The sequence below is a fragment of the Homo sapiens genome, chromosome 18 (genome assembly GCF_000001405.40).
Source record: "Homo sapiens chromosome 18, GRCh38.p14 Primary Assembly".
Taxonomy (NCBI): Eukaryota; Metazoa; Chordata; class Mammalia; order Primates; family Hominidae; genus Homo; species Homo sapiens.
In genome coordinates, this window is record NC_000018.10 from 7,033,563 (window position 1) to 7,046,821 (window position 13,259).

Sequence of the window (13,259 nt, forward strand, 5' to 3'; positions counted from 1 at the left end):
GGAAATGCCTTCAATGTTTGGTACAAAGTCATGCTGCTGCCCATAGATGACTGTGGGAAAGGTCTGGTGTTGCCTATTTGGAGTTGAAGCACCTCAGAAAAATTAATCCATTCAATTATCACAAATAGAAAGATTACCCTTAAATGTGTCATGCTATGTTTGTGTTAGATGCATACAACTTTTTTTTTTTGAGACAAAGTCTCGTTGTGCTGCCCCAGCTGGAGTGCAGTGCCTTAACCTCAGCTCACTGCAACGTGCACCTCCTGGGTTCAAATGATTCTCATGCCTCAGCCTCCTGAATAGCTGGGACTACAGGCATGCGCCACCATGCCTGGCTAATTTTTTGTATTTTTAGTAGAGATGGGGTTTCACCATGTTGGCCAGGCTGGTCTCAAACTCCTGACCTCATGCAATCCACCTGCCTCGGCCTCCCAAAGTGCTGGGATTACAGGTGTGAGCCACCATGCCCAGCCTAGCTGCATACAACTTTTATGCTTGGCACGGCATTGCCAGAAATTGTCCTCCCGAAAGTAATCAAATGACCAACGATGGATACGTTCACTTAAATGGACTGAGTAAAAGCTAAGACCATTAACATTAGGATGGTGAGAACCAGGTGCAACATGGTCCAGACAATCGCTAACTCATCGTGCATTTCCCAGAAACCCCCTTTGAAAGTTTCTCATCCTAATGTCAAGTCTGTCTTCTACTGGATACACTTGATGTGGATAACTGTTCTTACGTTTTCAATAAAATTACATTTATAAACTTAATAATTCTTAAGACAGCCAGATCCTGTAGCTGTGTCCTTAATATAATGAATGTAAAATACGTTGAGCTTTAAATATATATGAATAAACAAACATAAAATGGAAGTACCTTCACCGTAAGTTTTTCCTCCATTTTCAATACATACCTGTAAAGAGCCATTTTTGCAGAATTGTAGTTGGCTCTGATCAAAAGATGTGTCACATTGGCAAGGACAGTCATCAGCTGGTCACGATCAATCTGCCTTTTGCTGTGAAAATCTTGGAAGTTTTCAGGCACAAGTCTAACCACGTTTAGGTACTCTTCATAAGGCTGCAATGACAGACCCTCAGCCTGTGTGCTTAAAGTGAGTCCGTTTCCCTAACATTTAAAAACAAGAGAAAATATATTTGTCATTCAATTTAATGATAAAATAAAAATAAAATCAAATTTTGTATTCAGCAACGTGGTTTTTCATTCGTGCCTAGCTTCTTGTGGCAAACGTGTAATGGTGTGTACAGCTCTTGGCCCAGAATTATCAGAGAAAAGGTGTTTCATTGTATTATTTTTAGAGGGGTTCTGGTAATAAACTGAAAGCCTGTGTACTTCGCTGGGATCTTGGAAAAGAAAGAAAGTCGTGCAGTTGCCCACAGCTTTTATCAAAGCAACCCATCTGACACCTCTAATCTTTAACTAAAGTACAGAAGTAGAAAAAGTATGTAAACATAGCTCCAGCTTTTCATCAAGTTGCTGTTCACAAAAGTGATTTACCGTGTGCGGTCTGCAATTGGTCAGGCTGGAGATGGAGGTGAAGATAGCTCCAGGTGAAAGGACATGAGAGACAAGAACCTGGAGTGGTTTCTGCCCAGACATGCCCCAGACCCTGGGACATTACCACTTGGGGAGTCCTCCTGACTGAGCTGGATCTTTTTATGGAGACTGAGGATGTGGGGATAGGGACAGAGGCTGAGGACAAGTATGGCAACACGTCTACTGTCCTCAGACCGCCAAGTACTGCCTAATCCATTCATCTGAGAGGCAAAGTGGCACAGGGAAGAAGAGACTTCAAAAAGAAGATTCAAGGTCAGAGCAAAAATTTGTCTCCTTTTTACTTAAAATTTTTTTTTTTTTGAGATAGGCTCTCTCTCTGTCACCCAGGTTGGAGTGCAGTGGTGCAATCACAGCTCACTATAACCTTGAACTCCTGGGCTCAAGCCATCCTCCTGCCTCACCCTCCCGAGTACCTGGGATTACAGGCACGTGCCACGGTGCCTGGCTAATATTTTTTGAGAGACGGGGGTCTCACTATGTTGCCCAGACTGGTCTCAAACTCCTGGCTTCAAACAATCCTCCTGTCTCAGCCTCCCAAAGCACTTACATTATAAGCATGAGCCACCAAGCCCAGCTCCCTTTCTTTTTAAATGTGAAAAGATGGGTACACCCTGGAGATGAAGAGAAGAGTGGCGGGTGCTGTCCTGAGGCAACTCCAGAAATGGGCTCAAAGACAGATTCTCACACTCACCATCTCAGTAGTCCCCACGCAAGTCCAGGGTCTACTGAATGGCCACCTGGCCACCAGCTCCTTGCTGGGATGTCCTCACCTAGTAACTTTCAGTCATAAACTATCAGCCCACTAAGCCCTAAGCTCTATAGCAGAATCAAAGCAAAAACAATCACCTTAATGATGACGTCAGCATGCGACATGAGGTTACTGTCTACCGTCTCTACCGGAATATCGTAGGACACCGTGTATTTCAGGAATCCGCCAAACGCAGTCAGCTGAAATGTTTAAGCGAGAATGAACACGAAAGGGGAAGACAATCACAGCAACAATCAAGTAAGAGGAAGTGGTCACTGGGATCCATCTGCAAACAACTAGGCTACAACTATCCCCTTGACCATGACAGACAAGGAAATTCACATTAAAGGCAGTGAAAGGGGAGTATATTCATAAACATTTTGGTTAATCAATATTACCAACATGCAGGACACTGTTTGAAAGCACAGAAGAAAAATGTACTCTTTGTTAGAGACCACAAGGCAAATTACTATAAACTTTTGTTAATCACACAATAGATATTTACTTCGGTTAAGTAATTTAGGGGATGAGGAGTTTGACCCATGTCTACAATCTCCACATTTTCATTTCAGCATCCTCCTCATAGGACAACAAAGAATATGTCTGATTTGCTAGTTAGAGAAAGGACTAAAGGTGTTTCTTCTGATTAGATGTCCTTCAATATAAAATTAAGATTTTCTTTCTGATGGGTATATGACAGCAATATATTGTTCAGAACCCAACTTTGCACCATAAAATTGGAGAAGTGATATCAAGAGAAAAAAAAATCATTGAACTCTGTTGATAAAATCATATCAATAGAGCACATGTTCTAGGATTATAATTTGAGAAAAAAATAATTTTCAAAAATAAATACTCCTTAAAAATATACAAAACAAGTTTTAAAATGAAAATATCATCAAATTAAATAGAAGCGTACCAAGCTACAAGACTACACTAGCATGCCTGTATGCCATTACTTTAAAACAAAACAAAACCAAAAACCCGGGAAGGTAAGCAGGGAGCTATAATAATTGAGATGCATTCTCGGGAATAAATTTTCGTATCAATCAGAATCTGGAGAGATGCGGCATAAGTGGGGAGGGGGGAATGGGAACACATCATTGCAAGGAAGGCCCAAGCCTACAAACCAACCTCCACATTGCAGAATCACCAGTTTGCATTTTCTTGAAATATAACAAAAGCAGAAAGTATTCCATCTGTTCCTAAATGTGAGCTTCAGATGAGCACAGCCTGCCACGGTACTCAAAGTGAGGGAGCAGCACAGCAGTCCCATTGCTGGAACCTTCCCTGGGTTGTTTCTTGTATGCCAGGCCCTCCACTAAGCCATGGAGGCTCTAAGCTGAGCCTATGGCAAACTAAACAAAGCGGGAATGTGAGGAACACTTCATAAACAAGTGATCCAGGGACCCAGAAAGTTTATCTCAGAGACGGGGATGAGACTTCACCAAACACACTGCTCAGGAACCAGACCAGAAGAGCAGAAGTTCTTATTTGAATAATACAACATAAAGTCTAACAAGGCTAGAAAACCTTCTTTGTATCATCAGATGCAAGTACAGGCTATGAAATGCTGTCCAACACTCAGGTGCCCTATGAGACTACCTAAAATGCAGGCAGCGCAAGTTCTTTCTCAGTGTTCCCTGAGATCTTCATCTGAGACATCGCTACCTGCAGGGTCACACGCACCTTATTTCCAAGGTAGGCCTCGGGGGCTGCCCAGTAGTACTTGGGAGCCAGTCTCTGCATGACCGCGGTGTTGTTGATGCTGACCTGATGGCGCCCGCCTAGTGCATCTTGCTGAGACGGGATCTTCCTGGGACTGATCAAGTCGGTGACCAGCCACCCGGACATACTGTTTACCTTAAAAACAAATTCAAGAATTTTGAAGTATGAAATAGAACTTACCTTAGATTTCACCCAGTGCAGCAGTAATATTTTCACAATGAAGAAATGGGCCAGAAAGCTTCTCTAGGGATGGCATTAACATAACACCTGTGGCTGCTGAACCTCATGACCCTTGACCCTTCCACTTGTAAAGGACCAGGAGGACCTGAGAACAAGTCTCACTACTCCAAATCCAGATCCAGTATAAGCAAATAAATGAGCAAAACCATAAAGGCCATGGGTATAGATTTTAGATTTAAAACAACAAAGAACATCATAAATGCATTCAGCAAAATGTCTCTTGCTAAGTCTGACTCCCTCTTCTTCGTTGCCCCCTGCTTTTTACCCAAATGTTGAAAAATGTACAAAGATAACCTCTAGATCTTATACTCCCAATGCGTCACCGACATAGAGGTGATGGTACTCCCCCCAGCGTGGTGTCCACAGCAGTCACTGCTGGGTAAGTCCCTACCGAGCAGCTCCTCCCTTGCCTGCAGCCATCACACCATCTCCACCTCTCCTAGCCACCACTGGACACCCCTGTTGAACCCATCACCCCAGAACTCCCTGTTCCGGAAACAACTTGGCCTGCATTCCTAAACCCTGCACCACGTGCCGCTGTTCCCACCCTCGCCACTGGAGGGCCTCCTACTCCTTAGCGTCTTTGAGCTGGAAAATCCCCATGGCCCCACGGCCCTCTGGGCTCCCAGGCCTGAGAGCAGCAGGGGCGGGCGGAGGGAGAGCCGACCTCCCCACCCAATCCATTTCCCCACAGAAGAAATTGAAACAAGACGTGTTCTCTAGTGCCACATCATCCTGTTTTTTCCATAGAGAAATGTGTGTGGGAGTAAGCACATGACCTATAAAGAATCTTGAGAGGCAGACGGCTGCCTTTGACCCACGTCAGTATCATTGCATAGCGATGAGAGTGGTGTCACGGGAAGTCATCCTCATTTCCTCCTCACACAGCTCGTGCCAAGCTTGTGCAATACGACCTGCTCATTAAATCCCGCCGCGCAGATGGCGCCTCCCACCTGACCAACAGGCCAAGAGAGGCTGCTGCAGACATCAGAAACGCCAAAGCAGAAGCACTCGGAGCAGCCCCGGGGGTTTTTTTCCTTCAAGTTATAGAATCCTGGCTTGCAGCGATCACAGGCCTTCCCCTCAACGTTTTCCTGTAAGTTAGGGTAAAAGATTAGCTTTTGAAACCAATGTGTCTGTCCAGAGAGAATAAAATGACATTAACAAGATAGGTGTTCGGTGATCCACAGAGACAGGTGAATAAACGTCCAAAGTAAAGGTGAGGCCTCATAAAGTCAATATTTCCAGAATAGAGATTTTGAATTATATATAATTTGATTTTGTACTCAAGAACAAGGCTGGAGATCTTAGAACTCGGTCATTCCATTTAAATTGTTTTGTTTTGTTTTAAATTTTTCATTTTTTTACTGATCTTTCCAGCATTTCAAAATCTGAAGAGAGCTATAGAATTTTCTCTTATTCATAAATGCTCAAGATTATTTCCAGTAGTATATAACATGTGCCTAAGACTGCACAGGTGGGAATAAGCACATAGGTACAATGGAATGTCCTATGAATTATGAAGAAATTGTTATTAATATTGTAAGGCCAAATAAAACCCCTCACTGGCACCATATTAATGCATTTCTTATGACTATTCAACTCCTTTTTAACAGACACTCAAAATAGCATATCTGCGTTTAATTGGTGTTCTCAGAAATTTAATGTTAATCTGGTTCTCTTCCGAATACAAAGCTGGAAAAGAATACCATAGAATTAAGCTAGGGGTCAACAGCATCTCTTTTGCAACTACTCAACTCAGCCTTTATTGGTTGAACATAGTCATAGAAAATACATAAGCAAATGGATACAGCTCTGTTCCAATAAAACTTTATTCACAAAACAGGCAGTGTGTCAGATTTGGCCCACGAGCCATAGTTTACCAAGTCCTGGTTTAAAGAAAGAAAACAGAGATGAGGCCCACAGAGGAGGTGGGAATATAAAGGTATGCAGTGTTTGGTGTCCTCTAAGAAGTCACAGAAATGCCTCTGGAATATATCACCATTACCAGAGGTACAAAAAAAGAAGCCAGATGCCCATGTGAGTCCAAGCATATATAATACAGCCAACTCGGTGTGGCTTGGAGAGAAGGGGCAAGGGGAGTTCTGCTTAAACCTTACCACTTTGCTCAAGAACTGATCATTGGAGCCAATGGAAAACACTCCTTTTCCAGAGAAGCTCAAAGGAAGCTCAGGGGTGTCTCTGACCTCCCCACTTACCTTACAAACACAGGGCCCTGTGCAGGGCTCATCACTGGCACTGCCCACTGGGTTGCACCCACAGGAGACACAGGTCGGGTAATCCTTATAGCCAAGTTGGCAGCGATCACATTTTTCTCCTGTATAACCTTCCTTACATGGGCACTGACCTGGCTGCTTCCCTAGAAAGACAACAATGGCAATGACCCAACATGAAGGCAAAAGAGGTTTAAAGCAGGGGTTGGCAAATGTTTTCTGTAAAGGGTCAGAGGGTATCTATTTTAGGCTTTTTGGCCTCAGAGTCTCATTTGCAGCTGCTCAGCTCAGCCATTATTGTTCGAACACAGCCATAGAGAATACACAGGCAAATGGCTATATCTCCATTCCAATAAAACTTTATTCATAAGAACAGACAGTGTGCTGGATTTGGCCCATGGGCCATAGTTTGCCAATTCCTTGTTTAAAGAAAGAAAACAGAGATGAAACCCGTGGAGGGAGCTGGGAATATAAAATGGTAGAGTGACTTTGGAAAACCTTTTGACACTTCTTCAAAATGTTAAGTTATAGAGTTGCCATAAGATCCAGCAACTGCACTCCTAAGTAAACACCCAATAAAATAATGAAAACATACACCCACAAAAGTCCCTAGTAGCATTGTTCATAATGGCCCCAAAGTAGAAACAATTCAAATGTTCATCAACTGATGAATGGATATATGAAACATGGTATGTCCATACTATGAAATATTATTTGGTAATAAAAAGGGTTGAAATACTGATACATGGTACAACACGGATGACCTTGAAAACATTATACTAAATGAAAGAAGCCAGTCACCAAAAACCAACATATATGGTTCCATTTCTAAGTTCAGAATAGGTAAATCTGCAAAGAAAAAGGTAATTAACGATTGCCAGGGGCCGGGAGAAGGGGCTGGAGGAAAGTAAGAAGTGACAGCTAGTTTGTAAGGGGCTTCTTTATGGGATGATGAAAATGTTCGACTCTTAGATTGTGGTGATGGTTGCACCAATACACCAAAACAATGAATTGTAGACTTCAAATGGGAGAACTGTATCGTTGTAAATTATAAAACTGTTTTGTAAAAAAAAAAAAGCACAGAGGCAAGTGGCAGAGAGCAGCAAGCACTATCTTTGCTTTTAATGTCAGTTTTGAAACCTTCAGGCAGTTAACCTTCTTGACTGCTCTGAGCTACAGCAAAGTGGGTTAAGTAATTTCTATCTGCTATGGTTGCAAAGTTTAAATGATATATTTTTTTAAATGAACTCAATTGAGGGTAAATGTCACCACCACTATCACCATCATCATCTTCATTATTATCATCGTCATCATCCCCTCACCAGGTGCACGTAAGAATCAATTCAGTTGGGTAATTTACCCTCCCCATCGCTGGGGGGCCCACCCATCCCTACTGGTCGATATCCATTTTAACTGCCAGTGGCTGAGAACTTGATGGGGTCACAAGAGTCTTTGAACAGACGCAACCTATTCAGGAGACTCTGGTATTTGCAAGTCAATTTGCCAGTTTTTGAAACGGAAAGAGAACTCTGACATTTACCAAGTTAATGGGAGGACTTGCTTGATCTGTGAGATGATTTATGCAAAAGCCCTCCAAATGTCTTCTAAAAGCTAAGGAGAGCAATTGCTATTTACTGTGTTCCACGCATGGCTTTAAACTGGGCCTTATTTCTTCCTTCACCAAATGCTCAATTATCTGCTCAAATGTCATTTCATCACCCCAACATTGTCACCTCATTACCCCATCTCCCTCCATTCATGAGTCCTAATTTTGCTTTATGTCCATGACACTACCTCTCGACCTGGCATTATATTACCCATGTACCTGTTTGTTTAGTGTTTTTGTGAGCAAGGACTTTGACTACCTTGTTAAGTACACATTCCCAGGTCCTCAAAAACTGCCTGACACATAGTAGGTGCTTGATACGTACTTGGTGAACAAAAGAATCAATAATCATGTTACCAACTGGCTATTACCATTAGTTCCAGTATGTGCAAATCTTCCACACACACACAAAATCAATTACAAGCACAAAAGTGAATCAAGTACTTACCATTGTGTAAGTCAGAATGGAGGTCATCCTTAATACAGACAGAACTGAGGGACCCCACAGGGTCACAATTACAGGGGCGGCAAGGCTCATCCTCATAAGGAGACACCTGAAAGGCAGAGGTTGCCCTGGATTCTCTTACTAGAAATAACAGCAATGTTGGCAATAGTATAAATAAGAAGGTATTGGCTTTTTACTCAAGATGGGACTATTACGATGATTTTGTGCATGGGGGTGGGGGTTAGGTTTGAGGAAGATAAGATGATCCCAAGCCAGGAAGCCCAAACATCTTTTTGATGGTGGCAGTAGTTAGTACCCTTAGCAAAGTGTCATCTTTTTCTATTATCCCTGCTCTCCAGCCCCCCTCGCGCTGCTGTCTCTCAGAGCCACGTTATAACCAGGACACCACAAGGACTCATGTAAGAACTACATATCAAGTCAATTAAAGATTGGCTGAACACGGCCAGGCGTGGTGGCTCACATCTGTAATCCCAGCACTCTGGGAGGCCAAGGCAGGCGGACCACAAGGTCAAGGGATTGAGACCATCCTGGCCGACATGGTGAAACCCTGTCTCTACTAAAAATACAAAAATTAGCTGGGTGTGGTGGAACATGCCTGTAATCCCAGCTACTCGGGAGGCTGAGGCAGGAGAATCGCTTGAACCCGGGAGGTGGAGGTTGCAGTGAGCCGAGATCGCACCACTGCACTCCAGCCTGGCGACAGAGCGAGACTCCGTCTCAAAAAATAAAAATTAAAAAAAAAAGATTGGCTGAACATCTCCTACAGGCAAGAGACAGCTGCTTTAGTTATAGCTGAATTTTCACATCTGTAGTTAGTATTATGACCCAGGATTACATAGCTAATGGACCCCTGAATTCAAGATAAATAACAATGACTGACATCTTATTTTGAGCAAGAAAAGCAGGATAGAGTAGGAAATATATATATAAAAACACTACTGGCATAACAAGGATATAAATGAAATATTACAAAAGTCTCCAATACAGAGGTTAAGACTTGACAAAGTCTCTTTTCCACCTGGGGAAGATGATGAAGATCAGCAATGGCAAAGAAATACTCTTACTTTGTGTGGTCTATAATATCCATCAATACAGGTTTCACAGTTGATTCCCATGGTGTTCTGCAAGCAATTTATGCAAACCCCTCCTCCTCTGAACTGTCCAGCAGTATTCAAACTTTTCTTCTGCTTTGCAACACTTTCATCATAGTAACAGTCTTTGGCTTTATTGTGACAATTACATGCTAGGAGAATATTTTTAACATCTCAATTAATTTACATAGCATGCCTTATACAAAGAAAACTCTTAACCTCCCTAAGTAAGTTCTATGATTTTAGATTAAATTAAAATCCTAGAATAAGTAATTTTAATAAGATATGGGCAGTATTATGGAGGACAATTGGGAAGAGCTATTAATATCAAAATAATAAATGCACATACCCATTTGACCCAGCAAACCATCTCCTGGGATTATATTTCGCAGAAGTACTTGCCCACTTGAGAAGGACACATACAGGGTTAATCACTGCACCATTGTTTGTGTGGACAACAGACTAATAACCATCAAAATAACCGCCGATAGGTGGTTGTTTAATAAATTATACTACATTTGTATAATGGAATTCTGTGCAACTGTTTTTAAAAACAGCATTTCTAATTGCTAATATGGAAAGAATTTCACAATACATTGTTAAATATAAAAAGCGATGTGGGCTGGGCGCCATGGCACACGCCTGTAATCCCAGCACTTTGGGAGGCCGAGGCGGGCGGATCACGAGGTCAAGAGATGGAGACCATCCTGGCTAACACAGTGAAACCCCGTCTCTACTAAAAATACAAAAAAATTAGCCGGGTGTGGTGGTGGGCACCTGTAGTCCCAGCTACTCAGGAGGCTGAGGCAGGAGAATGGCATGAAGCATGAACCTGGGAGGCAGAGGTTGCAGTGAGCCGAGATCGCGCCACTGCACTCCAGCGTAGGTGACAGAGTGAGACTCCATCTCAAAAAAAAAAAAAAAAAAAAAAAGCGATATGTACAATGGCATGCATAGTACATTGTCTTCTGCGTAAGAACTGTGTTGGCTGGAGGGATATGTTAACATATGCGTTATATGCATAACAATTTTAGGAAGGACATACTAGAAAACAATAAAAAGTGCGAAGGAGGGAGATGAAGTGGAAGTCATGCTTTTAACTACATACTTTTACATATTGTTAGATCTAGGAATCTTGTGAATATATTGCTTATTTAAAACTTAAATCCAAATCAATACAGAATATACAACCTGGCATATCCCATGGTAAAAAAACAAAAACAAAAGTAAAATTAATACAGAATAATAGACTATACGGGAAGGGGGACTCATAGATAAAACAGCAAACCCATAAAGATACATTTAGGCCACAATAGTTAAAATTTTAAGGTCATCTGCAGCTTTGGAAACTACTTAAATTTCTAAGAAAACAAGTTACCTGCTAACTATAAAAGTTGTTAAGACACCATAAACTTGGGACGTATTAAGAGGAAAACTGTACTGACCTTCAGATTCTAAGTATACTGACCTTCACATGTATTGCCGGAGGACACGGTTCCCGGCCTCCAGGGCTGCTGATGGTACCCAGGACAGCACCTGTTACAGCTCTCCCCGCAAGTATTATGCTCACATTGACACTGCAGTTTCTACACAATAAGGAAGCCAAAACTGAATTAGAAAATGTATCTGCTTATGTTTCTTAATTTCATGGTAAAAAGAACCTATCTGTCAAATATGTGGCAAGAACCTCACAACAGAGGATATATGATTATCATCAAAGCAAACTGGCATTTAATTTTTAGATGCCAATATATACAAATAACCTGGTTACAAACAGAAATGAAGAGGAATAAAGCAAAACCAGAATACGACTTAGCTAATAAAAACTTTTTTTAAAAATATACATGGAACTTATTAAGGGTTTAGAAACTCCTATTAATAATTTTCTTAGTGTTCATCTACAGATTTTTCAGCATCGATAACAGAATAGTCCTATTCAAGAGGTAAAGAATTACAAAGATTAGAAGAAAATAAGAAGTAACTTCATGCAAGTGTTTTAAAAGGGAAGATGCCAGGACCAGCCTGGCCAACATGGTGAAACCCCATCTCTACTAAAAATACAAAAAATTAGCTGGGCATGGTGGCACGTGCCTGTAATCCCAGCTACTCAGGAGGCTGAAGCAAGATAATCCCTTGAACCCAGGATGCGGAGGTTGCAGTGAGCCGAGATTGCACCACTGCACTCCAGCATGGACAACAAGAGCAAAACTGTCTCTAAATAAATAAAAATTTTAAAAAATAAAAGGAGAAGATGTCATATTATTCATTTAATGTAATGCTAAAAGAGATAAACTGTTAAATCTTTTTTTTAAATTTTTTTATTGAGACAGAGTCTCGCTCTGTCACCCAGGCTGGAGTGCAGCAGCATGATCTCAGCTCACTGCAACCTCCACCTCCCGAGTTCAAGCCATTCTCCTGCCTCAACCTCTCGAGTAGCTGGGACTATAGGTGCATACCACCACGCCCCACTAATTTTTGTATTTTCAGCAAAGATGGGGTTTTGCCATGTTGGCCAGACTGGTCTCAAATTCCTAGCCTCAAGTGATCCACCCGCCTCTGCCTCCCAAAGTGCTGGGATTACAGGTGTAAGCCACCATGCCCCTTTTAAATCTTGATTTAGCACCAAAAAAAACGGAAGGGGAGAAAATAGGAAGAGAAAACCTTTCTTCTAAAAAATATAAACATAATTTATAATTGCACTTTTTTTTTTTTTTACTTTCTTACAGACAGAAGGGCTTCAAAATTAATAAGGCCACTGAACTGTACACTTTCAAATGGTAAACTTTATGTTAGGGATATTTTATCACATAAAAAAATCATTGTAAGAACTTAATTAGAAACATATCCTCCAAAGCAAAATGAAATTGTTTAAAAATGACACAAGTTAAATTTCTGAAAATCTGTTTTTTTGGAGCATAATTTTATACCTTTCATGTTTGTTTGGAATAAAAAAGAGTAATGCAAATATTATAGCTACAATTTCTGTTTTGAAGTTTTAGTAAAATGTGAAATACTAGAACTCACCTTTGTAGTTTCATCCCATGGGCAGCTACTAGCATGGCCATAGCAGATACACATGCCTCCAACAGAAATGTCCTTTATTGAATAATAATACTAAGGAAAAAGAAAGTTATGAACAAAAATTAAAACCTAGATTTCAGTGAAATGAAAATGTTGGCACACCAACAAATATCTCATGTAGTTTAAGAGTTTTTATTGGTAATCTAAAATATAATTACATGTACATTTAAAAATTATATTTCATGCACAAAGAATCCTGTGCTCAATTAAAATAAATTAGGCTCAAATTAGCTCATCAGAACCCAAAGAAGTCTAAAAGAATTCCCCAACTGCATCTTAAACCAAGTCAGTAATGTTTCAAAACTCATTATTGAAAACCGTAAAATAATTGGCAAATTGAATACAGCACTCTATAGAAAAGATCATGAACAAGTAAGAGTTACCCTAGAATGCAAAGTTAATCTACCACACAAAAATCAAGAAATGTAAATCACATTAACAGAACAAAGTGCTTTCCTCTGAAGAAATGCACTCACCAGTTCTCTAT

At 41.0% G+C, this 13,259-nt stretch overlaps 1 protein-coding gene across 1 annotated transcript in view, besides 7 other annotated features; it reads right to left on the reverse strand.

Annotated features, from left to right (window-relative positions):
* Positions 1 to 13,259, reverse strand: part of LAMA1 (laminin subunit alpha 1) — a 176,056-nt gene that overhangs the window by 91,821 nt on the left and 70,976 nt on the right. Inside the window, exons 6-14 of the mRNA NM_005559.4 lie at positions 12,716 to 12,805; positions 11,160 to 11,277; positions 9,665 to 9,843; positions 8,583 to 8,688; positions 6,514 to 6,674; positions 5,248 to 5,388; positions 4,016 to 4,189; positions 2,425 to 2,526; positions 917 to 1,128 (exon numbers count right to left, since the gene is read on the reverse strand). Of these exons, the coding sequence (NP_005550.2) occupies positions 917 to 1,128; positions 2,425 to 2,526; positions 4,016 to 4,189; positions 5,248 to 5,388; positions 6,514 to 6,674; positions 8,583 to 8,688; positions 9,665 to 9,843; positions 11,160 to 11,277; positions 12,716 to 12,805 (1,283 nt within the window). The remainder of the gene's footprint in view (positions 1 to 916; positions 1,129 to 2,424; positions 2,527 to 4,015; positions 4,190 to 5,247; positions 5,389 to 6,513; positions 6,675 to 8,582; positions 8,689 to 9,664; positions 9,844 to 11,159; positions 11,278 to 12,715; positions 12,806 to 13,259) is intronic.
* Positions 1,126 to 2,325: an enhancer, noted in NCBI's record as "MED14-independent group 3 enhancer chr18:7034687-7035886 (GRCh37/hg19 assembly coordinates)". NCBI's record gives its function as "activates an origin of replication core promoter dependent on BRD2, BRD4, P300/CBP and CDK7 cofactors, and independent of MED14, by STARR-seq in HCT116 cells {active_cell/tissue: HCT116}" and the evidence as "EXISTENCE:reporter gene assay evidence [ECO:0000049][PMID:35650434]".
* Positions 4,539 to 5,039: an enhancer, noted in NCBI's record as "H3K4me1 hESC enhancer chr18:7038100-7038600 (GRCh37/hg19 assembly coordinates)". NCBI's record gives its function as "activates a minimal SCP1, AML or CMV promoter by ChIP-STARR-seq in naive H9 embryonic stem cells {active_cell/tissue: H9 hESC(naive)}" and the evidence as "EXISTENCE:reporter gene assay evidence [ECO:0000049][PMID:30033119]".
* Positions 4,539 to 5,784: a biological region, named in NCBI's record as "P300/CBP strongly-dependent group 1 enhancer GRCh37_chr18:7038146-7039345".
* Positions 4,585 to 5,784: an enhancer, noted in NCBI's record as "P300/CBP strongly-dependent group 1 enhancer chr18:7038146-7039345 (GRCh37/hg19 assembly coordinates)". NCBI's record gives its function as "activates an origin of replication core promoter dependent on BRD2, BRD4, P300/CBP, MED14 and CDK7 cofactors, with strong dependence on P300/CBP, by STARR-seq in HCT116 cells {active_cell/tissue: HCT116}" and the evidence as "EXISTENCE:reporter gene assay evidence [ECO:0000049][PMID:35650434]".
* Positions 4,748 to 5,042: an enhancer, noted in NCBI's record as "tiled region #1572; HepG2 Activating non-DNase unmatched - State 12:CtcfO, and K562 Activating DNase unmatched - State 12:CtcfO". NCBI's record gives its function as "activates a minimal TATA promoter and a strong SV40 promoter by Sharpr-MPRA in HepG2 cells, with weak activation in K562 cells {active_cell/tissue: HepG2 | K562}" and the evidence as "EXISTENCE:reporter gene assay evidence [ECO:0000049][PMID:27701403]".
* Positions 5,040 to 5,540: an enhancer, noted in NCBI's record as "H3K4me1 hESC enhancer chr18:7038601-7039101 (GRCh37/hg19 assembly coordinates)". NCBI's record gives its function as "activates a minimal SCP1, AML or CMV promoter by ChIP-STARR-seq in naive H9 embryonic stem cells {active_cell/tissue: H9 hESC(naive)}" and the evidence as "EXISTENCE:reporter gene assay evidence [ECO:0000049][PMID:30033119]".
* Positions 10,186 to 10,387: a silencer, noted in NCBI's record as "fragment chr18:7043747-7043948 (GRCh37/hg19 assembly coordinates)". NCBI's record gives its function as "represses an EF-1alpha promoter that drives an FKBP-Casp9 reporter gene in an ReSE screen in HepG2 liver carcinoma cells {active_cell/tissue: HepG2}" and the evidence as "EXISTENCE:reporter gene assay evidence [ECO:0000049][PMID:32094911]".